This window comes from Homo sapiens, chromosome X (genome assembly GCF_000001405.40).
Source record: "Homo sapiens chromosome X, GRCh38.p14 Primary Assembly".
In the NCBI taxonomy this organism is placed as follows: domain Eukaryota; kingdom Metazoa; phylum Chordata; class Mammalia; order Primates; family Hominidae; genus Homo; species Homo sapiens.
Genome location: NC_000023.11, coordinates 22,238,748 through 22,265,646, shown reverse-complemented (window position 1 = coordinate 22,265,646; position 26,899 = coordinate 22,238,748). Strand labels below are relative to the sequence as shown.

General features: G+C 39.4%; 1 protein-coding gene and 1 long non-coding RNA gene across 7 annotated transcripts in view; one reads left to right on the top strand and one right to left on the bottom strand.

Annotated features, from left to right (window-relative positions):
* PTCHD1-AS (PTCHD1 and PHEX antisense RNA) overlaps positions 1–26,899 on the top strand; it is a 1,100,142-nt gene that overhangs the window by 1,027,500 nt on the left and 45,743 nt on the right. The window contains exons 6-8 of the long non-coding RNA NR_073010.2: positions 5,805–5,892; positions 7,511–7,634; positions 11,582–11,708. This is a non-coding gene — a long non-coding RNA (PTCHD1 and PHEX antisense RNA). The remainder of the gene's footprint in view (positions 1–5,804; positions 5,893–7,510; positions 7,635–11,581; positions 11,709–26,899) is intronic.
* The window catches only part of PHEX (phosphate regulating endopeptidase X-linked), a 218,986-nt gene continuing 206,423 nt past the window's right edge, over positions 14,337–26,899 (bottom strand). For 5 of the 6 annotated variants that reach the window (NM_000444.6, XM_024452390.2, XM_017029579.2 and 2 more), the window contains 2 exons: positions 20,238–20,314; positions 14,337–17,796 (listed from right to left, as the gene is read on the bottom strand). In NM_000444.6, the coding sequence (NP_000435.3) occupies positions 17,694–17,796; positions 20,238–20,314 (180 nt within the window). In that variant the 3' untranslated portion in view covers positions 14,337–17,693. The remainder of the gene's footprint in view (positions 17,797–20,237; positions 20,315–26,899) is intronic. The other variant, NM_001282754.2, reaches the window with a different exon arrangement.

The following is a 26,899-nucleotide window of genomic DNA, read 5'->3' as shown; positions in this document are numbered from 1 at the left end:
CACCTTTGCCATCAAAGTATTTAAGACACTAGCCAGGGAAGACAACAGACACATATTAAAGCCAACTAACAGCCCGGTATAGTATAAGATTAGATGAGGGAAACTGACAGAAAGTGCTGTAAGAAATCTGGGGACATAAAGAAATTTTGGTCAAGATGATCTTGGATAAACTAAAATCAGATCTTCATCTTTCAAGATAGGATTTACATGCACACAGAGCAGAGCCACTCGCCTTCCAAGTCAGGGAACAACATGGACAAAGACAGGCATAGAAAGGGCAATATGCTTGACTCAATAGAGGACTCATAAAGAAGCAATGGGAGATATGGTCGGGAAAGCTAGTTTAGGGCCAAATGTTGGAGGGTCTGGATGCACTAAGGAGCAATATAAACTTATCCCTATAGGTAATTCAAAATCCTCAAGTAAAAGTATAAAAGAAAGACAGCAGAATGTGGCATAGATTGGCAAACAGGAATAGGAATCGAAAGTCCTATTAGGAAGCAATTTACTGTTCAGGACCGAGATTGTTCAGGTTTGACTGGGGAAAATAGAAGCAAAAAGGAATGAGCATGAGAAACATTGAAGAGTCACAGTTTGGTGATTAAGGCAATGGAGAGGAGGGAAAGAGAGGACTGAAGTTTTCAAGCCCAAGAGACTATCACATGGTCCAACTAGGGAGGGACCATTTGGGTTGGGGCCCATCTGCTTGCTCTACACCCTCTTAAGTTTGGTCCTGGTCCACTAGAAGGTCTGAGGCACATGTTTAGTGACATGGAGGAGTTTTGACTTAGTCTCACAAGGTAATCCGAACAGTCTCCTGAACTTACTGCTGGTCGGTTCTTCAGCTGTTTGTGAGATGCCTGCCCCTTCCCAGCCCAGGACTGTAAGATCTAGATTTGCTTCAAAGAAGGCTGCAGCTGTCCACTCACTACTCAGCCCACATCCAGGCCTGCTCCCCTTACAGAACAATTCCTCTGGATTCTCCCTGGGCCTTTGAACCAGCAAGGACTTCGGGCTTGGCTTTCTTTTTACTTTTCTCTCTTTTTTTTTTTTTTTTTTTTTTTACGACGCGGCCTTGGATTGGGGCCTTGGTTTTGGACTCAGTTGTAATCAGCTTTATTCCACAGCTGTGCGCAAGCAGCACCTACCTCTACTCTCCCTGTTGCTTTCTCAGACATTTTTTTAACCTGCCTTGTCCCCATCAGTTGGAGAACAAGATCAGATAGACTTTTTGCATAGTACTAGGTTCAGTTCTGAAAAGTGTTTGGCAACAGTTAAAGGGGATCATAGAAATGATAAGAAGGAGAAGGAAAGGAAAAAGCTAAAGATGAAAATTTTCAGTCTGGAGAATGGGAGGGAGGATGGCACGATGATAAGATAATCATCTTTGGGTACAGAAAGGGCTCTGCTGGAGAGAGGAAGCCTGGCTGCCCTCCCATCTGGCCAAGGGCAGACCAAGGGCTTAGTTACAGCATGGGGGATTTACATAAGATAAAAGAATTTCTTGAACAAATGTGGAAATGGGTTTCAGAGGGGGTTTGTGTAATTGCCTTCACGGGAGATGGCTAAGAATAGCATAGCTCCTCCAGCAGCCGGAAGGCAAAGAGGTGTTCTGTGGACAAGCAGGAGGTGCACTTGGGTCATTTCTTTTGCCCCTTCCATAACTCCTACCCTCTTCTTTTTCTATAGGAATATACATTTCTGCACTCTGTTAGGCCCCTGTGGAAGAACTCTGAACCCTTCCCCAGAACAAGGGCTCTTGGCCAATTCCTGGTATTTTTAGAAAATCAGCCTGTGAAGACATTGCCCCTGTGGCTACCAGAGCACTGTAGTGGTGATCATTTCCAAAGCCATAGAGACAATTTCTGACTAAATGATATCCTAGGCAGACTCAAAAATTGTTTATTTAACTGAAGGGTTGCATGGCTGGGTTTTAATTAGAATGGATTAACACAGTGTTCCCGCTTATAAAAACCAAAATCGAAAAGAAGGAAATGCAATGAGGTAATTAAAGTGAGGAAAAAATCCTCTGGATCCTCCCCCACCCAAATGGAACCATTAAAAAGACAGGGAAAATTAAGTAAAAATTTATGTTATTTTTTGTATACCCTGGTAAAGTCTGTATATAAAAATCTCAAGTGTCACATAGCTGTTTAAGCTTCTAGTGTGTATATACATATATGTATGTTTGTTCATGTGTGTACATAGTTTTGTACTGTATAATCATATAAACCTATATACGGATTGTTTTTTGTTTACAATAGTATATGACAGTATATATAGGTAACACTTTTTTCCTTTTTCCTCTCAACTGACTGATTTGGCAAAATCAAGAAGTTTGCATGGTAGTGCAATAAGATGACCTACATGATTTACCACTGCAAAATTTTGAAATGTGTCATTGGGTTTTCATTCCAAGCAGCAATGGGAAATCATTGGTAAGCGTTCTCTCGTTCGTCATGGCAACATCCTTTGATGTATACACCTGTAAAAAGGTGTTAAAGGGGGGAATAAGGACAAAGGCACATGTGTTTTATCATTTATCATAATTAAGGTTCTACCAATTTTTTTTTACTAGAAAAAAAAGTACCATGCCTACATGTCAATTTCAAACCCATCAATTACTGAGTCCTGTCAGAACAACTGTCTCCTCAATAGCTCTCATGTCTATCCCTACTTCTCCATCCCATACCACCAGCCTGCCGTATCTCCCATGGATTACTGCAATGGCCTCCTAACTGGTCCCCCAGGCTCCAGTCTTCTTAACCCTCTTCAAGTATTTCTCACACCATCACCATCTTACTCTTTATTAAGTAGAAACTTAATTGTGTCACCTGTTTGATTTAAATTGGTCAGTGGTTCCCAGATGCCTACAAGATTAAGTCCAAGCTCAGTATCATGACCCTTTAAGATCTTTCTCTGTCTGACCTTTGCCAAACTCTCTTGCTTATCAATCATTAACCCCTCCTCAGCTACTCTTCAAGCTCTAGCTCCAGCAAGCTCTGTCCACTCCCTCTCAGTGGGTTCTCTTTCTTTCCCTACCATACCTTTTCGCTTTCGAGTAGCCTGGCCTCTCTCCCTGGAACTGTCTGCCATCCACTTGCTTCCCTGGCTGTCTCTGATGGATGCTACAAAACTCAGGTCCAGCTTCATCTCTTCCAGGAAAGCTTCCCAGCCAGGACCCCACACCCAGTTTAGTCTCTTACCTGTGTTCCTACAACAAGTACAGGATTACCTACCATTGCCAGCAAAAAAAGGGCTCCAAAAATGAGGGGAGAAAAGCTTTTTAAAAGAATTTGATATTCAGTATTTCCCTAGAAAAGCATCAAAGTGATTGTTGTGGGGAAAAAATGAGGACTTACTTGGACTTTCTTATATTTATTTTAATGTTATTTTTTTAAAACTTTTTGATGCAATACACATACATATACAAAAGTGCACAAATCATTAATGTAAAAAGCATCCAGATCAAGAAACCCAACATTACCAGAACTTCAAAAGCCCCACCTTGTGAACCCTTCCAGTTCCTAACCCCCAAGGAGTAACCACTCCTCTGACTTCTAACAGATTCGTTTTGCATATTTTTATATTTTATGTAAGTAGAATCATGAAGTATGTTCTCTCTTGTGTTTGGCTTTTTTCATCCAACTTATGTTTGTGAGAAACACTCATCTTGTTGCATGTAGTTGCAGTTTGTTTGTTCTTGTTATTGTAGATCAGTATTCGATTATTTACCTTCTCTGTTGTTGATGGGCATTTGGATACTTTCTATTTTGGGACTCTTATAGTGCTTCTATGAAATTCTTCCACATCTTTTGGTGAACATAGGTGTGCATTTCTGCTGGGTATACGTTAGGTTAAGCAATATAAAATTGCCAATATTCAACCATTGTTTACCTACTAAGATGACAACTTAATACCTAGGAGTGGATTGCTGGGTCATTGGATACAAGTATATTCAGCTTTAGAAGATACTGTTAAATAGTTTTCCAAGGTGGCCATACAAATGTATACTCCCTCCAGCAGTCTATGAGAGTTCTGCTTGTCTAAATGCTTTTTGATTTTAGCCATTCTAGAGGGGAGGGGGTAAATAGTTGAATCATGTTGTGGCTTAAATTTGCATTTCCTTCATGACTAGTGAAGTTAAGCACCTTTCCATCTATTTGTTGGCAATTTGGAATATCCTCTTTTGTGGTTAGTTCAAGTCGTCTGCCCAATTTTCTATTGAGTTGTCTGCCTTATTCATTTTGTATTATTTTTATTTCACAGCTGAGGCCATTAGAATTTTTTCATTGCTTAGCTCTATAAATACTTTTATCCAGTTTTATTTCCAAAGAACTCTGTGTTCACCTCTATTCAATTATATATTACACTGCTGAAATTTATTTATATATCTACTATTCCTTATGAGTAATTTTCAAATTGTTAAACAATTGGAAACTACAACCTTATTCATCATATTCCCAACCCTAGAATAATATCTATTAAGTGCTTCAATAAATATTTGTTCGGTTAACTGATGTACACTTAACATTGTATACCTCCTAAATTTGTGTTAACTCTTTTGTACTTCTCTGTATAAAGTTTATTTCAGTAAGACAAATTATGTGAACTATTTTGCCCATCTACATTACCTTACAAAGGAACGCCACTACTTACAAATGTACAAAGATGAGGATCAGAGAGTAGCAGAATTGTTTTCTAGCTAAGTAAGTGTCTATGAATAATAAGCAACAAAAACTTACCTAATTGATAAGAAAAAAATCAAAATCTTTTTTATTATTATACTTTAAGTTCTGGGATACATGTGCAGAACTTGCAGGTTTGTTACATAGGTATACACGTGCCATGGTGGTTTGCTACACCCATCAACCCGTCATCTACATTAGCTCTTTCTCCTAATGTTATCCCTCCCCTAGCCCCCCACCCCCGACAGGCCCTGGTGCACGATGTTTCCCTGCCTGTGCCTGTGCCCCTGTGTTCTCATCGTTCACCTCCCACCTATGAGTGAGAACATGTGGCGTTTGATTTTCTGTTCTTGTGTTAGTTTGCTGAGAATGATGGTTTCCAGTTTCATCCATGTCCCTGCAAAGGACATTAATTCATCCTTTTTATGGCTGCATAGTGTTCCATGGTGTATATGTGCCACATTTTCTTTATCCAGTCTATCACTGATGGACATTTGGGTTGCTTCCAAGTCTTTGCTGTTGCGAGTAGTGCTGCAATAAACATACGTGTGCATGTGTCTTTTTAGGAGAATGAGAAAAAATCAAAATCTTAATAGCCTAATGGGTGAAGGGCCTTGATATGTGGGTAATTTATATCAAGAGAGGTAAAAACAAAAAAGCAAATTGGTAAAATTAAACAACCAGTCACGCTTTATTTATTTACTTATTTACTTACTTACTTCAGGTTCTCACTGTCACTCAGGATGGAGTGCAGTTGCGCAATCATGGCTCACTGCAGTCTCAACCCCCCGGGCTCAAGTAATCCTCCCTCCTCAGCCTCTCCAGTAGCTGGGACTACAGGTGCACATTCTATGCCCTGCTAATTTGTATGTTTTTTGGTAGAGATGGGGTTTCACCATGTTGCCCAGGCTGGTCTTGAACTCCTGGGATCAAGCAATCCACCTGCCTCGGCCTCTCAAAGTGCTGGGATTACAGGCGTGAGCCATTGCATTCAGCCTTACTTATTTAATGAATGCAAAAGTTACTAAAAATGAAATTAATAACACCTAAAGCTGATAAGGTTTTTCTAAATGTGGTACCTTCTTACACTGTTCTTCATTGTGCTTTTTATTACAGCTGATGGTTTACACATCTTCTTCCCACATTATATTGTAACTTTCTTACGAGCAGGACCTACTTCTGATCCAGTTCTATTGTAAAACCGGTAGGTACCCGCATGCATACAACCTTGTTAGAACGCAATTTGTTAGTGCATTTCAAAAGCCACAACAGCATATACCTGCATCCTTTGATGAAGTAAATTTACTCTTAAGTATTTATTTTAAGGAAACAACCTATAGGAAAGAAAATAAATCTACATATCAAGATTTTAATCTCTATTATTTACAATAGTGATAAATGAAATCAATAATAAATTTCTAAATAGAAATAATTGAACAAATTATGTCACAGAAACTCTAAAGAATATCATTCTGCCATTAAAAATGGAAGATTTTGCCAGGTGTGGTGGCTCATGCCTGTAATCCCAGCACCTTGGGAGGCCCAGGTGGGTGGATCACTTGAGGTCAGGAGTTCCAGACCAGCCTGGCCAACATGGTGAAACCCCATCTCTACTAAAAATACAAAAATTAGCCGGGCGTGGTGGCTTGCGCCCATAATCCCAGCTACTCAGGAGGGTGAGGCAAGAGAATCACTTGAACCCGGAAGGCGAAGGTTGCAGTGAGACGAGATCGCACCACTGTATCCAGCCTGGGCAACAGAGTGAGACTCCATCTCAAAAAAAAAAAAAAAAAGATTTTGAAGCACCTATGGACGCAGGCCGATGCTATTAGATGAAAAAGATTCAAAATCATATTATCCTCTGAATAAAAATTATGCCATATATTTATACATGGGGCTATGGAAAAACACAAATACAAAAGAAATAGGCGGAAATTTCAAAGTAACAGGATGATGGAGCGTTTCTTTCTTAAATTTTATTATCGTTCATTCACTCATTTCCTCCCCTGCTCCTCTCCTCGACACGGCCACCATCATTTCTTGCTGGGATGATGGCAACCACTTCCTAACTGGTCTTCATGCTTCTTCCCCTGTTCAGCCACGGTCTATTCTCAACACAGCCAGAGTCATCATGGAAATCATAGGTTGGATCTTGTCACTTTTCTGCTCAAAATTCTCCAGTGGCTTCCCATCTCACACAGAGTGAGAAGAAGAGTTCTTGCAGCAGCCTATATGACCATAGACAAGCTGAATGTTGTTGTTTTCATCCTGACATCATCTCATTCTGCACTCTTCCTTGCTCGCTCTGCTCCAGCCACACTAGTTTCCTTGCTCTTCTACAAATGTCCTGGGATGCTCCTACCACTAAGTCTTTGGACTCACTCCTGCCTCTGCCAAGAAGGCTCTTCTCCAAGATAGGTTCTTGCTCAAACATCTTCATGACCGTGCTATTTAAATTTGCAACACTCTGACATCCACATATTATATCCTCTTCTCTCCTCCATAACAAGTATTACCATCTACTATATCATGTTTCACTTATTTATTTTATTGTCTGTCTCCTAGAGTATAAGCTCTATGGAAGCAAGACCTTCTATCTGTTTGGTTTACTGCAATATCCTCAGCAGCCCCTAAAGAGTGCCAAGCACGTAGTAAATGATCAATATTTATGGGTGAAATGAAAGAACACATTTACTAAATGTGTATTCAAGGGCCTATTATTTTTCAGACCCTGTTCTGAGTGCTGGAAATATAGTGGTGATGCTAGAAATATAGTAATAAACAAAAGAAAGGCTTATTTTTTTTGTTTTGTTTTGGTTTAGAGACGGGGTCTCACTGTGTCATCCAGGCTGGAGTGCAGTGGCACAATCATACCTCACTGCAGCTTCAACCTCCTGATCTCAAGCTATCCTCCAGCTTCAGCTTCCTGAGTAGCTAGGACTACAGGTATGCTCCACAATGCCAAGCTAATTTTTTTTTTTTTTTTTTTTTTTAGAAGCTGGGTCTCAGTATATTGCCCAGTCTGGTCTCAAACTCCTGGCCTCAAGCAATTCTCCCACCTCGGCCTCCCAAAGTGCTGGGATTACAGGTACGGGTCAACATGCCTAGCCCCGGAGAAAGTTTTAATATCATGGGACTTACAAGACAGTGGAGGAAGACAAACAATAGGAAAGAAGAGAGAGAGGGAAGGAGGGAGGGAGGAAGGAAGGAGAAAACTAGCAACAGTGGTAAGATCTATGAAGGTGTGAGGCAGGTGAGGTGATAGACTACATAGTTAAGGGGCCTAATTTCAATGAAGTTATGTGAAAGACATACAAAAAGCATTTCAGGCAAAGCAGCAAAGGCCCTGAGACTGAGAAGGTAGGAGAAAGTTTAGTAAATTTACAGAAACAGAAAGACCACCAATGGAGCTAGAAAAAGGCTATGAAGAAGTGACAGCAGAAACAGAGAGCCAGGTCCTGTAGGCCCTTTAAGTCAGGGAAAGTTGTTTCGATGTTATTGTAAACACCATGAAAAACATCGCTAAAGGTTTCTTAAGCGTAGGAATGACAAGGCTGTTATAATACTGTTCGTGAAGTTTTGGGCTAAAGTCACCAGAGTCCTGGATTACTCAAATTGCAATATGACAACTAGCACTCTGCCTCATGTGTTGTAGGCAGACATTAAATGACAGTTGATTTTTTTCCTTATTCTAAATATCACTTAGTACATATCACCAACTGACCTAGGTGAGGGAATACCTTTATTATTAGCGCCTTTTGTAGTTTTAATATGCTGCATGTTTTAAAATGGTTTTTATTCAATGCTTATAATAAAATTGAGATACTGAACTTTCTGTTCCTAAAGAACCATTTATCCTTAAAAAGGTTTTTGATTGATTTCTTCCCAACAAGCTATGTGCATTAACTCAAACTCAATCTGCACCAGAGACTCTATGTGTGTGCAAATGAGAGTTGAAATGTGAATCTCCAAGGAGCGAGCTTAGCCCTTGTTGATATGTAAAAATTTCCTCCACAGCATTTGTGACAAATCCACTCTAGGCAACTTCGGAAGGTACACAGAGATAGGTTCCTTCAATCTCTGATGAATTCTCCAAAGGCTAAGTTCTATGTCTTTAGGAGAAATGAAAAATACCAAATGTTCGTGTGTGTTTATTTTATTAAATTAACTAAGAAAAAATAGGATGGGTTTCTGTGTAAAATAAAACCTCCTAGTATTCAACAGTTTAAAGGAAACTTTAGACTCTTTAGTTACAGACATTACCGGGGAAAGGCAATAATTCCATATAGAACTGTATCTATAGCAGCATTTCTTTCCAAATAAATTTTTATTAAATATCCCCATTTAAAAAATTAAATGTAGACTTCCAGTTGAATGTAGGAGACTCGGATGCAGATCTGCTCACCCTCTCACTTCAAAAAGCTAAAAATATATCTTTTGAAAGGTATAAACCTACATAGACAAAAATATTAGACCCCCCTACTAGAAGCAAACTGAAATACTCTGTAGAATACCAGAATGCCTCAGGATTTGGAAGCTCTAGGTAACAGCAAATGTCAGAATGCATGATAAAGCTACAAGTGCTGGCAAGGATATGGAGAAAAGGGAACCCTTACACACTGTTGGTGGGAATGTAAATTAGTACAGCCATTATGGAAAACAGTATGGAAGTTCCTTAAAATATTAAAACTAGAACTACCATATGATCCAGAAATCCCACTACTGAGTATATACCCAAAGGAAATGAGATGAGTATGTTGAAGAGATATCTGCACTCCCATGTTTATTGCAGTAGTGTTCACAATAGCCAAGAGGTAGAATCAACCTTAGCGTCCATCAAGGGAGGAAGAATGTGGTATATATACACAAGGGCAAATTATTTAGCCATAAAAAATAATGAAATTCTGGGCCGGGCGCGGTGGCTCACGCCTGTAATCCCAGCACTTCGGGAGGCCGAGGCGGGCGGATCACGAGGTCAGAAGATCGAGACCATCCTGGCTAACACGGTGAAACCCCGTCTCTACTAAAAATACAAAAAATTAGCCGGGCGTGGCTGTGGGCGCCTGTAGTCCCAGCTACTCGGGAGGCTGAGGCAGGAGAATGGCCTGAACCCGGGAGGCGGAGCTTGCAGTGAGCCGAGATCGCGCCACTGCACTCCAGCCTGGGCGACAGAGCGAGACTCCGTCTCAAAATAATAATAATAATAATAATAATGAAATTCTGTTACATGTGACAACATGGATGAACCTGGAGCACATTATGTTAAGTGAAATAAGCCAGACAACAAAAAGATAAATACTGCATGATGTCACTCCTGTGAAATCTCAAAAGTTGTTCTCATAGACGTAGAGAGTAGAATGGTGGCTGCCAGAGACTGAGGGGTGGGGAAGATAGGGAGAGGTTGTTCAAAGGATACATAATTACAGTTAGATGGAAGGAATTAATTCAAAAGATCTATTGTGCAGCAAGGTGACTGTAGTTAATGATGATTTATTATGTTCTTGAAAAATGCAGAGAGAGTGAATGTTAAGTGCTTTCCCCACAAAAAATAACTGCATGCGGTAATGCAATTGTTAATTAGTGAGATTTAACCATTCCATAATGTGTACATATACTTCAGAACATCGTGTTGTACATGATAAATACACACAGTGTTGTCAAATCTTAAAAAAATTTTAAAAAGAATGCATCATAGGGTCAAAACCAAGGTGACTGCTTGAAAGTCTCTCAACTACCCATAGGCAGGGCCACAAAGATTTTGTTGTCTGGAGAAAGTAACCTGCAAACTTTTCGGTTTCAGGGACTGAACAGACAGGGTGAGGGTAATCATGGGGCTGATCACAGGTAGATTTCAGGGAGGTCTGCCAGCTGAACTGAGGGGATGCCCCAGCCTGGACATCCAGGACTTAAGAGTTACCATAGTTAATGTTTGCCTAAGAAAGCACTTAGACCAAACTGGATTCAAATCCATGCTGCCAGCTGCTAGCTAAATGATCATGAATGAAGTCATTAACCTCTCCAAGCCTCAGGTCTCTTACCTGTGAAGTAGAGATAATAATATGTATCCCAGTTGTTGTGATAATTAAATTAGATAATATAAATAAGGTATTTAGTACATGTTTGGCACGTTATAGATAATAAATGGTAACAAGCATTATCAGTAAAGAGCAGTATCTAGAATCCTTTCTGAAGGACTTGAAACTACCAGTAAGTATAAATTATTGTAAACTGACTCCTATCTTTACATTATTTTCTAACAGATTACTATAGAAGTATAACCTGAAGTCTTCAGTAAGTCACAGGTTACAATCATGTTAACATTGTTCTATATCCCAGGAGAACATTCGAGAATGGGCTCTGAAGTTAGACAAAACTGACTGTTTCTGGCTCTTGCAGTTACTAATGTGATCTTGACAAGTCACGTGTTTCTCACCTGTGAAGTTGGAATAGCAACAACTATGTGCAAGATTGTTGTGAGGACTGGCCATAAAGCAGGCATGCCCCAGCAGAGTGCCTAGGACATAGTGGGTGTCAACAAACAGAAGCCATTTTCACTACGATTATTATTAGGCCAAAAAAAAAAAAATACAAATGCCAATTGAAAATCTGGTCAACTTTGGAATAAATATGCTTTGGGCTATTTTTGACATTCATCAAATGTCACTGGGGTGGGAGGGCTGTCTGACTGTTATCCAAGTACTGGGATTCCACTGACTTCTAAATCAATTTGGAAATTAACACAGTGTACTTCCAAATGGTAAACTATACCACTTTTTTTGTCTAGGACATTTGCAGACATTTCAGCCAAACTGGCAGGGAAAATGATACTCAATATTTTAGGTAGCTTTTTACACTGGGATTTTAACTTACTCAGTTTTTCTTTCTCTGTAAAGTGGAGTCTCCGGCCAGAATTAATTAGAACAGCACTTTTGTGGCTTGTACATGGACACTCATCTTCATTTCTTGGACTCTGAGCCTCAATTTCTCATTCAAGTGGAGAAAGCATATAACAAGAATATGGTAAGTAGTATTTTTCATCTCATAATCAATGGAGAAGTAAAAACTATTGTATATAAATTATCTGAAAATACTGGAAAATACTGCACTTTCAACAGTATTTTGTAGGGTATTTTAGTTACTTTCTCAATGGTATATATTTTAAAAGCTTAGAACATATTATAAATTCATGGCTTTGCCACAGATTCTTATGTTCAGTTACCTTTCTAATTGAACCAATTAACAAAACAAAATACACATTCAAATGAAACATGTATCTAAACCATTTAGGAATGATTAAAATTATAGATCAGGTTTTCTTTCACTGATCACAAATCATGGTAATGCTTTTGTGGTGCTCATTTCCAGGCTCACTTTGGTGTGTTTATTAAAGCACAGTATTGTCAGATCATAGGGAGTATCTCATTTTCATTTGCATATCTCCAATTCTAACGGGGATTAAATTATCCAATTAAGCTGTTAATTAAAAAGACTCCTACAGAATAAACTGCAGGCTACCAATGGCATTTTCAGTTTTCATTGTGCCGTGCTCAAAAGCAATTTTCTAAATTCAGAAGAACTCAAAGTTACTGCCCCATACGTCACTTTATAAGGTGTGCCTGGGAATGCTCCCTGAGAACTAAACCCATTTGCTCTTCATTCTGGGCACACAGCTAGACTACATGTCCCAGCCTCCCCTGCAGTTAGATTTGGCCAATGGAATATGAACAGAAGTAATGTAGACAACTTCAAGGACAATTGCAAATCTTCCACTCAGTATCTTCCATGGCCTTTTTCCCTCCACTGGCTTCTTATAGATGAGCATACATTAAATCATGTGTTGAAAATGGCAGAACCATAATATGGAAGGAGGCTGGGTCCCTGAGTCACCAGTTAGAGGAGAGAAACTCACTGATAATTAATATCCATTATGTATGTAATGAAAACAAGAAATAAATTGGGTTAAGCCATTATCTGTTTCTACAGCTAGTGTGATCTTAATAAAAAAAAGCGAGTGAACTTGAGGCACATGCAAATATCTTAAACCTAATTGGAAACAGCCTCTTGCAAATTTTGATCAGGTCCACTTAGATACATATGTAACACTGTCATTTATATGCATCTTTCCTTGTGCCACTTCCCTATACACAAAAATTCCCATTTCATGGATCAGCTCAGAAACTAGGATAAACTCTCCAAGAAGGGCACAAACAGGCCATACTCAGCTACTTATTACCCACAGTCTGTGCCATCTGATGTCCATTTCCTGTACATGATGATGATATGACCTACTACACAGAAGGGCTGACCTAGGATCCTACAAACCATTACTTTTCCAGATCTTTTTTTTTTTTTTTTTTTGAGACGGAGTCTCGCTCTGTCGCCCAGGCTGGAGTGCAGTGGCGTGATCTTGACTCACTGCAAGCTCCGCCTCCCGGGTTCACGCCATTCTCCTGCCTCAGCCTCCCAAGTAGCTGGGACTACAGGCATCCGCCACCACGCCCGGCTAATTTTTTGTATTTTTAGTAGAGACGGGGTTTCACTGTGTTAGCCAAGATGGTCTCGATCTCCTGACCTCGTGATCCACCCACCTCGGCCTCCCAAAGTGCTGGGATTACAGGCGTAAGCCACTGCACCCGGCCTTTTCCAGATCTTAGAACATATCAGTGCCAGAAAGGTGTTTAATCAACAGGGGACTCAATTTGCACTGTCAGCATAATGCTAAAAGAAAGACACCACAGAGAAATCAGTATAAATTCTATTGTATGCCTCTGGATTTGTCTGAACTCCGGGAGGTAGTCAGGCATGCGGAGTCCCATACCACTCAGTCACTGTCTAAGGGTCACGAGGCACTTCCAGTTCTCTGAAAGTGCATTGGGCAAAGAGGCTCCAGTAGCATGAGGGCAGCCATCCTAGAGAGCCACAGCCAATTAGAAACAAAAGCAGACCGAAGATGAGATAAGGCCACCCAGTAAAAGGAATTTGCTGGGATCTGCGCAGAGGAAACACCAATAGTATCCACCAGACAAAAGTTGAAGAATTCTTTCTCTGTGTTCCAAACCACAACCTGATTTACTTATATATCATAATCACTCAGTAGGGTAATTGAAACAGTTTATATATCCATCTCCCATGTTAGACCAGACTGTTCACTGAAGCCCAGACACTGTATATTATCCACCTAAATATAGCTAGTTTGGTGATTTAAATATAATGGGTGCTCAGTTACTGTGTGCTGAATGAATAACTATAAATTGACTGGATTGTTAAAGAATGATGATAACACAGAGATTGTTTGATTTGATAGTAACTGTGATGTTCATTGTCACTTTTGTGAGATCAGCCCTATCCCCTGTCATCGCTGATAATTTCCTCAGAGGCATCACTTTCTCTATAGAAATATTATTACAAAGGCAATAAACCGTATCTGCTGACTTACATTCTGGAAGAAAATATAATGACAACCTCTTAAATACCTTCTTGTCTATGGAGAAAGTTACTGCATTCAAATCTCACTTTTCTAAGCCAAGAAAGCTAGTAAGTATAGTTATTGTACACTATTTTTTGGCAAATGTTGTGTAAAACAGGACGGAATATGTTAACAGATCTAATAGATTTTAATATTTTTAAAAAAGAAAGACACAGAAAGCCTTCAACCAGCTAACTTTTTATTGTCCTTAAAATGCTTGTTCACATCGTTTCACGAGTAGGAGAAGAAAATACAACCAGTCTCAGAATAACCATTTAGATATAAAACACATAATCCAAGAATATCTTTCTTCAAACCAGTAGGACACTGTCACTGGTGATGAGAATGTTGTTATATGAAGCAATCGTATATTCTTCCATAATGTAATATGCAACTGAGGCGTTATGTTAAATGTATCAAGGAAGAAGCCTATCAAATGCTAAGTGATTATAGAAATACTGATTGAATAAATGTATTTAGAAATGGGATAATCTAAGGGATAGAGTTTAATCCACAGGTCAGTAGACCAAAGCCCAAAGACTACCTTTCCTTCCTGTGGAATACTTGACAAGGGATTTCAGGCTTCTCCACTTCTCTGGCACAAGCATAATCTGTCTGGCAAGCCATAGTTCCTAGCTGCTTCTTAGTGATGCTCCAGGGCTAAATAAGATAAAATTTATGTGCTATGCTTTAAGCTCCATTGAGGCAAGGCACTAAATAAACTTCAGAATAATTTATGAATCCTGTGTTTGCATTAGTGATGTCCAAGTCCATCTCATAAAATGAATAAATGAGAACAGGAGGCCAATGCTGAGCACTTAGTGAAAAGCTCAGTACACTTTGGGCAATGGTCATGAGCCCAAATAAAACCACTTTATATCTAGAAAATTTTTTTACTAATCCAGGAGATTTTCACAAACACAAAAAACCTAACTCCTTCCAATGCCCAGACAACAGTTCGCTGGCAGAACATCTGGTGTGCGAATCAGAGAACTGTATTATAGCAGCCCTAGTCTGAGATCCAATATCTAATATCCTTTTAATTTACCATAATTATTTTTGTAAAACTTCATGGCTCTCCTCCATTGAACGTGCTTAGCAAGGAATGCCAAAATCCTGTCTTCTCTTCAAAGCCACATCCATAGGCCAGCTTCTCCCTACTTTTTTCTTTCCCTTCCAGTTGCATTTTACCTTTCTCTTTCTACCACTTAATCAGTGTCTGTTTATCTTAGCAATCGGTATCCAAGAGAAAGGACAATGAGAATGTAATTGGAAGAGTTGAGTTAAACATAAGCATGTATTTGGAAATTCAATCCTTCTCATTGTTCTAGCTAGTAGTGATGATTTGGTATTGCTGCTTTTGGTTTGTTGTTTTGTTCTGCTTTGTTTGAGTAATGGACATCCTACCTACAATTTTCGGTATAACAGTTACAGCAAGTAAAGTTAATCAGGATAAGGTAAGCTTCTCATCTAGAAACTGTGAGGGCCCCAACTAATCACCAACCAGTTTTGCTAAACCAACAAGTGACTTAGTTTGTCTTTCCAAAGCCATAATTCTATGCTTTTATCAAACACTTTCTCTGACCTGCAGGAATGTGTTTATTTGGAGTTTATAAAGGAAATCTAGAAGGGAAACACTATTCATATAAGCATGATAAACCTCAGCTGATTTTAAACACCCAAGTCCAGGAATAAAACAGAGTATCTTATATGTCTAAACCAAGTCAGAATGCTTCCTCCAGAGAAAAGACACATACAATTCCAACCTAATACTGCTTGTTTTTGGAAATACAAACTAAGGTCACATTAAGCCAGGTTAAGAGGAGGACAAGGTAGCTGCCCTTCACAAGTTTATCCATTCAGAGAGGAAGAAGTCAAAGGGAAAATCGCTCTCCTCTGACTAATGCAGTATAATTGTTTCCTCATGATGGTGCCCCTCCATTTTTCTCCATTCAAACGTTCCCATGGCTACAAAAGGACATGGCACACACTTAGGTAGATATACATATATATATATATATATATATATATATATATTTTTTTTTTTTTTAAAAGAATCACAAATCACAGGGACACACAATGGCTTCCTGTGGTTAATCTGAATTTGTCATTTTGCTTTTGAGATTTTCCTATTGGCCCACTTAACCCAGCACCTCATGTCTAATGAATAATGTAAAGGGAGTAGGGGGATGCCTATTTTAAGAAACCAAAAATGCCAGGTAACAACTTTAAGGCCATTACAATTTTATCCTACACACACACACACACACACACACACACACACGCTCAGTAATAAGAAAGGAGTTCACTTAGAAGGATAATGCTCTAAGGATAAAACACATAGTACTGCTCTTTCTCACAACTCTTTAGATGACTTGAAGAGTAAAAATTATGTTTATTTGGACTATGCAGGGAATTTTAAATTGAATCAATAAATTCTAGAATGTCATCAGTCAAGAAATTTTTCAAAAATGTTTTTTTTTTAAAGAGAGGTAACATTAAGCTGAAAAAGAAGGGTACACTTCTCCCTCCTCAATGTGATGTTTGTTCCTTTGCACTAAAGGGAAATGAAAATCATATGTTCCTAATGGGGAATCAGAAAATTGTTTTCTCAATGTCTGCTCATTTCAAAACCAGTACAATGCACACATATGAAGGTAATGAAACGAACAAGAATTAGGCTAAAAAAAAGTGTCTAGCAGACAGACAATCACTGCAGTTCATACAGACTGGACAAAATTTTGGAGATTTCATCTCCTAGTTTCCCTGCTGTTATGTAACTAGGAGGTTTTGCTGCTTCTGGGACCTAAAGATATGTCCTCATTCCCTTTTTTTCTACTGAATAAACTCAAATCCGTTACCTAGTAGCCTTTCTGCGAGCTTTGTTCATGCTGACTTGAACAGGGCAATCTGCTACATCAGATGCAAGCTGTGAGACACAGTTTCATTCCAACAGACTCCAAAGCTGAAGGCAAGAACTTCATCAAAAAGTGTAAAATGGAGATCAAACATATTTCTAATTTAACTACCTTACAGTTGAGGAATGCTGTGTAATTACTGTCCATAAAAACGTGCACTGCATTCCACAGAGCAGCAAGCCCTCCCAGGTATTCATGCACATGTCTTCATCATTGAGAGGCTACAAGTTTAATAGATTGAACTTTTAAAGGATACATCAATTTAGGCTTCCCACAAAGCTATAGATTGAAATGCTATGTACCACATAACTGTGGCCAACACCCTAAAATGGACAATAGCAACAATTTAGCAGATAGCATTTTAACAAAAGTAGCCTAGGGATTTATTTTTGTTGGTTTGATTTTCTAAAGAAACATACTTAGTTCATTCTTATATTCCACTTTATAAGCCCTACAACTTTGAACAGATGCTGTCTAGATCCAAGCAGGTCACCTACCCAAATAATGAAAATGCACTAAAAATGAAAGTCTCCAGGCCTAAAGCAATGGGCGATGAAGGCTCAGTGCAGCCTCCGCTGGCACTGTGCAACTGTCTCAGGATGCCATAAACCAGCGTCCCAGCTACCAGAGTCGGCAGGAGTCCATGCCTCTGTTCATCGTGGAATTGGGTGGACAGTTAAAAGCTTTCTGGAATTCTTCAAAGTTACTAATTGCACCATTGACCCTGAAAAACGATATGTCAAAGCATATGTCATATAATTCTTGCACATCAACAGGTTCTGTATAAAACTGTAGCAGAATATTGCTAGAAAGAAGGTTGGCATTCTTTTAATCTGTTTACAGGGAGACAACTAAAGCCCAAAATGATTAAGTAAATTTCCAGAAAAAATTAACAGACTAGATCCAGCATCTCCTGAATGCCAAGCACATGCCCCTATTACTCTTCGAACAGTCTTCAAAATTCTTTTAAAACTGTATCATCACCAATATTAGTTTTTCTAACTTTTTAAAAACTTTATGGAAAGTATAACTGACATAAAGTATGCAAAATATTAAACGTAGGACTTGCCAGTTTTTGTGTGTATATGCCCATATTACTATCTGCCAGATCAAGACATTCCAGCACCCAGAAGGCTCCTGCCTGTTCCATACCAACAGCATCTCCCAAGATAACCTACTATTCTGACTTCTATTGCCATAGCTTTGCCTGATTTTGAACTTCATGTGAATGGAATCCATGGTATGTACTGTTTGGTCTTTGATTTCTTTCACTGAATATAATGTCTATAAGAGTCATCCATGTTGTTGCATTTCCAGCTATTTTTAAAGAATTCATTCAATCTGCAAAACATTTTCTCTGAATTAGTGTTAGGTATGGGAAGCTCACAGTTGCCCAGAATTTGATTAATGCAACAATCAGTCAATTAATGAATGGTATCTAGTTATTACTGATAATTCTTCACTGGAGTTAGCTCCAATATGTCACATTCTTACAGGCTTCCAACTACAGCAAAGACTGGATTCCTACTCAGCACTTTGATTGTAGCTGCCTTTTGGAAGTGGTATTGCCATTGTGTGATTTCTGCTGCACTCAAAATCTATAGTTACTGCAGACCTCAGTAACAAGCCAGCACACACACACACAAAAAACTTCCCCCCTTCTATTTCTTACTCAACTCCGTGTTCAAAGGGTTGACTAGAGACTCAGCATTCTCAGTCCCTGACTATTTCTTCCCTAATGACTTTGTTACCTACGGGCATTTGCATAAATGTAATGGACTGTATCCAAAAAATCCTCATAACCTCTTGTTGTTTTAGCTGAATATATGGGTAGGGATGCATATTTCATAGTGTGATTCACCCTAGGCAAGTGTTAAAGATAGAATACAGTTGATAATTAGTAAGCATGCACTGTAAAATTCAACATTACAGGCAACTAGTTAAAGGAAATAAGTTTCTGAAAACTTATCTGTTGAGTAATTAATCTACTGTGTGAGTTCATCTGCACCATTGGTCAGTGGGAACACATTTTAGTACGTTCGAGACCGTCAGCCTTCATGACAGTTTAGCCCAGTGGGGGAGAAATTTCCAACATAGTGATTAGATTTTTATGCTAGTGGGTAATTTATAGTCAATTTCTGAAGCATTTCTAAGGCAAGATCTTAAGAATAAGATTTTAACATATAGAAGAAATTTTAGATGGCTTTCTTGCAATATGCTAATGGATCTGTTTAAACATTAAATATAAAGATATCCAGATATAATGCCCTAAACAAAGAATGAATACATATAAATTATTATGGTTTTTGGGTTTCTCATCATACTTATCTTTCCGGTACTATAGAAAATTTCTGTCAACCTGTACGACCGAGTACAGGGTGAGTAATATTAACTTTTAATTTTATTTGTACTTAATGTTTTATACATTCTGACAAATAAGACTGCAATTCATAATCCTTTTCCTTTTTTGTATAAGCTACCGTTTCAAAATATGATCCCACCTGAAAGCCAAAATGTAGACTCTCTAACTCTAGATATAAATTATAATTGCTGAATAATACTTTGTATCCTCCTTTGTGTTCAGAGCTATTTAGAAAGTGGCCATTCATTCATGTTTGCTGGTTGACTGTGTGAAAGAACAAGAGGTATTAAAGGGGATATTCTTTAAAACAAAATAAACCAGAGCGCTAGGTGTTTTAAGGCAGAGTACATCAAATCTCATCCTTTCCTAAGACAATAAAGGCTATTTTTTTGGACAAAAAAGTAAGCAGTTGAGTAAGTCCAATAATGCAGTTTACTGAGACTCTTTCAAAAACTAGAAGATAATGGGATGTAATACTAAAGCTATGATTCGGATTCCGAATTACCTCTGGAGTCTTGTATAGTCTCACTGGCACTTGATGTAGCACTAGACTAGATATGTACAGGTACCATCAGCAGAAATTCAGGTGAGAGAGTGCTGACTAAACCAGCTTACTACTAATGAAAGAAGATATTTAGTTTCCGTGTGGCCAGATATTTTTTGGCTGCAAAATGGAAATCACACGTCCACAATGTGGGATTTTTTTCAGATCACCTATCTGGTAGAGCCCTTGGATGGCTGGGTGGGGGAGGAAGGGGGGAGATGTACAGTTAAAAACTGCCGTCACCCATTTGCCCATTTACCTAAACTGAGGGGGACTGTGAGCACCAATTTGGACTTGTTCTCGGGCAGCTTCTGGTCTGTAGGAATTGCACCTCACCTAGAAGAGAAAAGCATCCCAACAAATGAGCTTTCATTCCAATTATGTATTTTCTGCTGTTTTAACTGCTCCAAATTATACTGAGGAACAATTTTAGAACCAATGGATGACAAACAGTTTTAGAAGATCAAATAAAACCGTCATCTGTAATAACATCTATTATTCTGATCCCCAGAGTAGAAGGTTTTATCAATGTGAATAATTTCACAATTTGAGTAAGTGAGAAAGGTTTCCAGACAAGTGCTTTAAATCAAGAGAATCGTATATGTGCCCAGGAATCGACCAGTGTATTCATTCAATGAATTTAATGTTTGAAATAGTCCTTCTCAAATTTAACCATACTCATTCAAATCAATAAAATGAGTCAGCCACCCATTATTGAGGATGGTGATGAGAAGTTAGTAGTCTGCCCCTGAGTGCCTTGCTCGCTTCACCCTAGTCTGGGCCTAGGACTGAAGTACACTTCTCCATCTCCTTTGAAGTTGGGCATGGCGATATGGCTTGTTCTGGCCAATGAAGTGTGAGCAGAAGCAGAAGTAATATATGTTACTTCCTGGCAGAAGCTTTAAAACCTGACAGAAGTTTTAAGAGCCTTAAGAACAATTTAAGATGCTACACTAACGGCCAGTGCACATATCCTCGTATGTCTTTTCTACTCCTGTGGTATCCACAGAAGCACATGCCAAGATATAGACTCTAAAACCCAAGTTTTTTGTTTGTTTGTTTGGTTTGACATGGAGTCTCGCTCCGTCACCCAGGCTGGAGTGCAATGGCGCAATCTTGGCTCACTGCAACCTCCACCTCCTGGGTTCAAGCGATTCTCCTGCCTCAGCCTCCCAAGTACCTGGGATTACAGGTGCACACCGCCACGCCCAGCTAATTTTTGTATTTTTTTTTTTATTATACTTTAAATTCTGGGGTACATGTGCAGAACGTGGAAGCTTCTTACATAGGTATACATGTGCCATGATGGTTTACTGGACCCGTCAACCCGTCATCTACATTAGGCATTTCTCCTAATGCTATCCCTCCCTTAGCCCCCGACCCCCTGGACAGGCCCTGGTGTGTGATGTTCCCCTCCCTGTGTCCATGTGTTCTCATTGTTCAACTCCCATTTATGAGTGAGAACATGTGGTGTTTGGTTTTCTGTTCCTGTGTTAGTTTGCTGAGAATGATAGCTTCCAGCTTCATCCATGTCCCTGCAAAGAACATGAGCTCATTCTTTTTTATGGCTGCATAGTATTCCATGGTGTATATGTGCCACATTTTCTTTATCCAGTCCATCACTGATGGGCATTTGGGTTGGTTCCCAGTCTTTGCTATTGTGAACAGTGCCGCAATAAACATACGTATGCATGGTGTCTTTATAGTAGAGTGATTTAAAATTATTTCGGTATATACCCAGTAATGGGATTGCTGGGTCAAATGGTATTTCTGGTTCTAGATCCTTGAGGAATCGCCACACTGTCTTCCACAATGGTTGAACTAGTTTACGCTCCCACCAACAATGTAAAAGCGTTCCTATTTCTCCACATTCTCTCCAGCATCTGTTGTTTCCTGGCTTTCCAATGATCGCCATTCTCACTGGCATGAGATGGTATCTCATAGTGGTTTTGATTGATTTGCATTTCTCTAATGACCAGTGAAAATGAGCATTTTTCATATGTTTGTTGGCTGCATAAATGTCTTCTTTTAAGAAGTGTCTGTTCATACCCTTCACTCACTTTTTCATGGGGTTGTTTTTTTCTTGTAAATTTGTGTAAGTCCTTTGTAGATTCTGGATATTAGCCCTTTGTCAGATGGGTAGATTGCAAAAAGTTTCTCCCATCCTCTAGGTTGCCTGTTCACTCTGATGATAGTTTCTTTTGCTGTGCAGAAGCTCTTTAGCTTAATTAGATTCCATTTGTCAATTTTGGCTTTTGTTGCCATCGATTTTGGTGTTTTAGACATAAAGTCCTTGCCCATGCCTATGTCCTGAATGGTATTGCCCAGGTTTTCTTCTAGGATTTTTATGGTCCTAGGTCTTACATTTAAGTCTTTGGTCCATCTTGAGTTGATTTTTTGTTTAAGGTGTAAGGAAGGGGTCCAGGTTCAGTTTTCTGCATATGGCGAGCCAGTTTTCCCAACACCATTTATTAAATACAGAATCTTTTCCCCATTTCTTGTTTTTGTCAGGTTTGTCAAAGATCAGATGGTGGTAGATGTGTGGTGTTATTTCTGAGGGCTCTGTTCTATTCCACTGGTCTACATATCTGTTTTGGTACCAGTACCATGCTGTTTTGGTTACCGCAGCCTTGCAGTAAAGTTTAAAGTCAGGTAGTGTGATGCCTCCAGCTTTGTTCTTCTTGCCCAGGACTGTCTTGGTTATATGGGCTCCTTTTTGGTTCCATATGAAGTTTAAAGTAAGTTTTTTCCAATTCTGTGAAGAAAGTCATTGGTAGCTTGATGGGGTTGGCATTGAATCTATAGATTACCTTGAGCAGTATGGCCATTTTCACGATATTGATTCTTCCTATCCATGAGCATGGAATGTTCTTCCATTTGTTTGTGTCCTCTTTTTATTTTGTTGAGCAGTGGTTTGTAGTTCTCCTTGAAGAGGTCCTTCACATCCCTTGTAAGTTGTATTCCTAGGTATTTTATTCTCTTAGTGGCAATTGTGAATGGGAGTTGACTCATGATTTGGCTCTCTGTTTGTCTGTTATTGGTGTATAGGAATGCTTGGGATTTTTGCACATTGATTTTGTATCCTGAGACTTTGCTGAAGTTGCTTATCAGCTTAAGGAGATTTTGGGCTGAGACGATGGGGTTTTCTTAATATACAATCCATCATGTCATCTGCAAACAGAGACAATCTGACTTCCTTTCTTCCTATTTGAATACCCTTTATTTCTCTTGCCTGATTGCCCTGGCCAGAACTTCCAACACTATGTTGAATAGGAGTGGTGAGAGAGGGCATCCTTGTCTTGTGCTGGTTTTCAAAGGGAATGCTTCCAGTTTTTGCCCAATCAGTATGATATTGGCTGTGGGTTTGTCATAAATAGCTCTTATTATTTTGAGATACGTTCCATCGATACCTAGTTTATTGAGAGTTTTTAGCATCAAGGGGTGTTGAATTTTGTCAAATGCCTTTTCTGCATCTATTGAAATAATCGTGTGGTTTTTGTCATTGGTTCTGTGTATGTGATGGATTATGTTTATTGATTTGCATATGTTGAACCAGCCTTGCATCCCAGGTATGAAGCCAACTTGGTTGTGGTGGATAAGCTTTTTGATGTGCCACTGGATTCAGTTTGCCAATATCTTACTGAGGATTTTTGCCTTGATGTTCATCAGGGATATTGGTCTAAAATTCTCTTTTTTTGTTGTGTCTCTGCCAGGTTTTGGTATCAGGATCACGCTGGCCTCATAAAATGAGTTAGGAAGGGTTCCCTCTCTTTCTATTGTTTGGAATAGTTTCAGAAGGAATGGTGCCAGCTCCTCTTTGTACCTCTGGTCGAATTCGGCTGTGAACCTGTCTGGTCCTCAACAACTTTTTTTTGGTTAGTAGGCTATTAATTGCTACCTCAATTTCAGAACTTGTTATTGGTCTATTCAGGGATTCAACTTCTGCCTGGTTTAGTCTTGGGAGGGTGTATGTGCCCAGGAATTTATCCATTTCTTCTAGATTTTCTAGTTTATTTGCATAGAGGTGTTTATAGTATTCTCTGATGGTAGACTGTATTTCTGTGGGATCGGTGGTGATGTCGCCTTTATCATTTTTTATTGCGTCTATTTCATTCTTCCCTCTTTTATTCTTTATTAGTCTGGCTAGTGGTCTATTTTGTTGATCTTTTTGAAAAGCCAGCTCCTGGATCCATTGATGTTTTGAAGGGTTTTTCATGTCTCTATCTCCTTCCGTTCTGCTCTGATCTTAGTTATTTCTTGTTTTCTGCTGGCTTTTGAATTTGTTTGCTCTTGCTTCTCTAGTACTTTTAATTGTGATGTTAGGGTGTCAATTTTAGATCTTTCCTGCTTTCTCTTGTGGGCATTTAGTGTTATAAATTTCTTTCTACACACTGCTTTAAATGTGTCCCAGAGATTCAGGTACGTTGTGTCTTTGTTCTCGTTAGTTTCAAAGAACATCTTTATTTCTGCCTTCATTTTGTTATTTACCTAATAGTCATTCAGGTGCAGGTTGTTCAGTTTCCATGTAGTTGGGGAGTTTTGAGTGAGTTTCTTAATCCTGAGTTCTAATTTGTTTGCACTGTGGTCTGAGAGACTGTTTGTTATGATTTTCATTCTTTTGCATTTGCTGAGAAGTGTTTTACCTCCAACTATGTGGTCAATTTTGGAATAAGTGTGATGTGGTGCTGAGAAGAATGTATATTCTGTTGATTTGATTTGGGATGGACAGTTCTGTAGATGCCTGTTAGGTCCACTTGGTCCAGAGCTGAGTTCAAGCCCTGGATATCCTTGTTAATTAATTTTGTCTCAATCTGTCTAGTGTTGGCAGTAGTGTTGACAGTGGGGTGTTAAAGTCTCCCACTGTTACTGTTTGGGAATCTAAGTCTCTTTGTAGGTCTCTGAGAACTTGCTTTATGAATCTGGGTACTCCTGTATTGGGTGCATATATATTTAGGATAGTTAGCTCTTCATGCTGCATTGACCCCTTTACCATTATGTAATGCTCTTCTTTCTTTGTCTCTTTTGATCTTTGTTGGATTAAAGTCTGTTTTATCAGAGACTAGGATTGCAACCTCTGTTTTTTTTTTGTTTGTTTTTGTTTTTTGCTTTCCATTTGCTTGGTAGATCTTCCTCCATCCCTTTATTTTGAGTCTATGTGTGTCTCTGCAAGTGAGATGGGTTTCCTGAATACAGCACACTGATGGGTCTTGACTCTTTATCCAATTTGCCAGTCTGTGTCTTTTAATTGGGGCATTTAGCCCCTTTACATTTAAGGTCAATATTGTTATGTGTGAATTTGATCCTGTCATTATGCTGCTACCTGGATATTTTGCCCATTAGTTGATGCAGTTTCTTCATAGTGTTGATGGTCTTTACAATTTGGTGTTTTTCAGTGGCTGGTACCAGTTGTTCCTTTCTGTGTTCAGTGCTTCTTTGCGGAGCTCTTGTAAGGCAGGCCTGGTGGTGACAAAATCTCTCAGCCTTTGCTTGTCTGTAAAGGATTTTATTTCTCCTTTGCTTATGAAGCTTAGTTTGGCTGGATATGAAATTGTGGGTTGAAAATTCTTTTCTTTGAAATTGTTGAATACTTGCCCCCTCTCTCTTCTGGCTTGTAGGGTTTCTGCCGAAATATCCTTTGTTAGTCTGATGGGCATCCCTTTGTGGGTAACCCGACCTTTCTCTCTGGCTCCCCTTAACCTTTTTTCCTTCATTTCAACCTTGGTAAATCTGATGATTATATGTCTTGGGTTGCTCTTTTCGAGGAATATTTTTGCGGTGTTCTCTGTATTTCCTGAATTTGAATGTTGGCCTGCCTTGTTAGGTTGGGGACGTTCTCCTGGATAATATCCTGAAGAGTGTTTTCCAACTTGGTTCCATTCTCCCCGTCACTTTCAGGTACACCCATCAAATGTAGATTTGGTCTTTTCACAGAGTCCCATATTTCTTGGAGGCTTTGTTCATTTCTTTTAACTCTTTTTTCTCTAATCTTGTCTTCTCACTTTATTTCATTGAGTTGATCTTCAATCTCTGATATCCTTTCTTCCGCTTGATCAGTTCGGCTATTGATACTTGTGTATGCTTCACAAAGTTCTCGTGCTGTGTTTTTCAGCTCCATCAAGTCATTTATGTTCTCCTCTAAACTGGTTATTCTAGTTAGCAGTTCCTCTAACCTGTTTTCAAGGTTCTTAGCTTCCTTGCAATGGGTTAGAACATGCTCCTTTACCTCGGAGGAGTCTGTTGTCACCCGCCTTCTGAAGCCTACTTCTGTCAATTCATCAAAATCATTCTTTCTCCGTCCAGTTTTGTTCCCTTGCTGGCGAGGAGTTGTGATCCTTTGAAGGAGAAGAGGCGTTCTGGGTTTTGGAGTTTTCAGCCTTTTTGCACTGGTTTCTCCCCATCCTCGTGGATTTATCTACCTTTGGTCTTTGATGCTGGTGACCTTCGGATATGGTCTCTGATCGGACATCCTTTTTGTTGATGTTGCTACTATTCCTTTCTGTTTGTTTGTCAGTTTTCCTTCTAACTCAGGGCTCCTCTGCTGTAGGTCTGCTGGAGTTTGCTGGAGGTCCTCTCCAGACCCTGTTTGGCTAGGTATCACCAGTGAAGTCTACACAGAAGAGCAAAGATTGCTGCCTGTTCCTTCCTCTGGAAGCTTTGTCCACAGAGGGGCACCTGCCAGATGCTAGTGAGAGCTCTCCTGTATGAGATGTTTGTCAGCCCTTACTGGGAGGTATCTCCCAGCCAGGATACACGGGGGTCCGGGACCCACTTGAGGAGGCAGTCTGACCCTTAGCAGAGCTCGACCGCTGTGCTGGCTGTCAGGCAGGGACGTTTAAGTCTGCTGAAGCTGTGCCCACAGCTGCCCCTTCCCCTAGATGCTCTGTCCCAGGGAGATGGGGGTTTTACCTATAATTCCCTGAC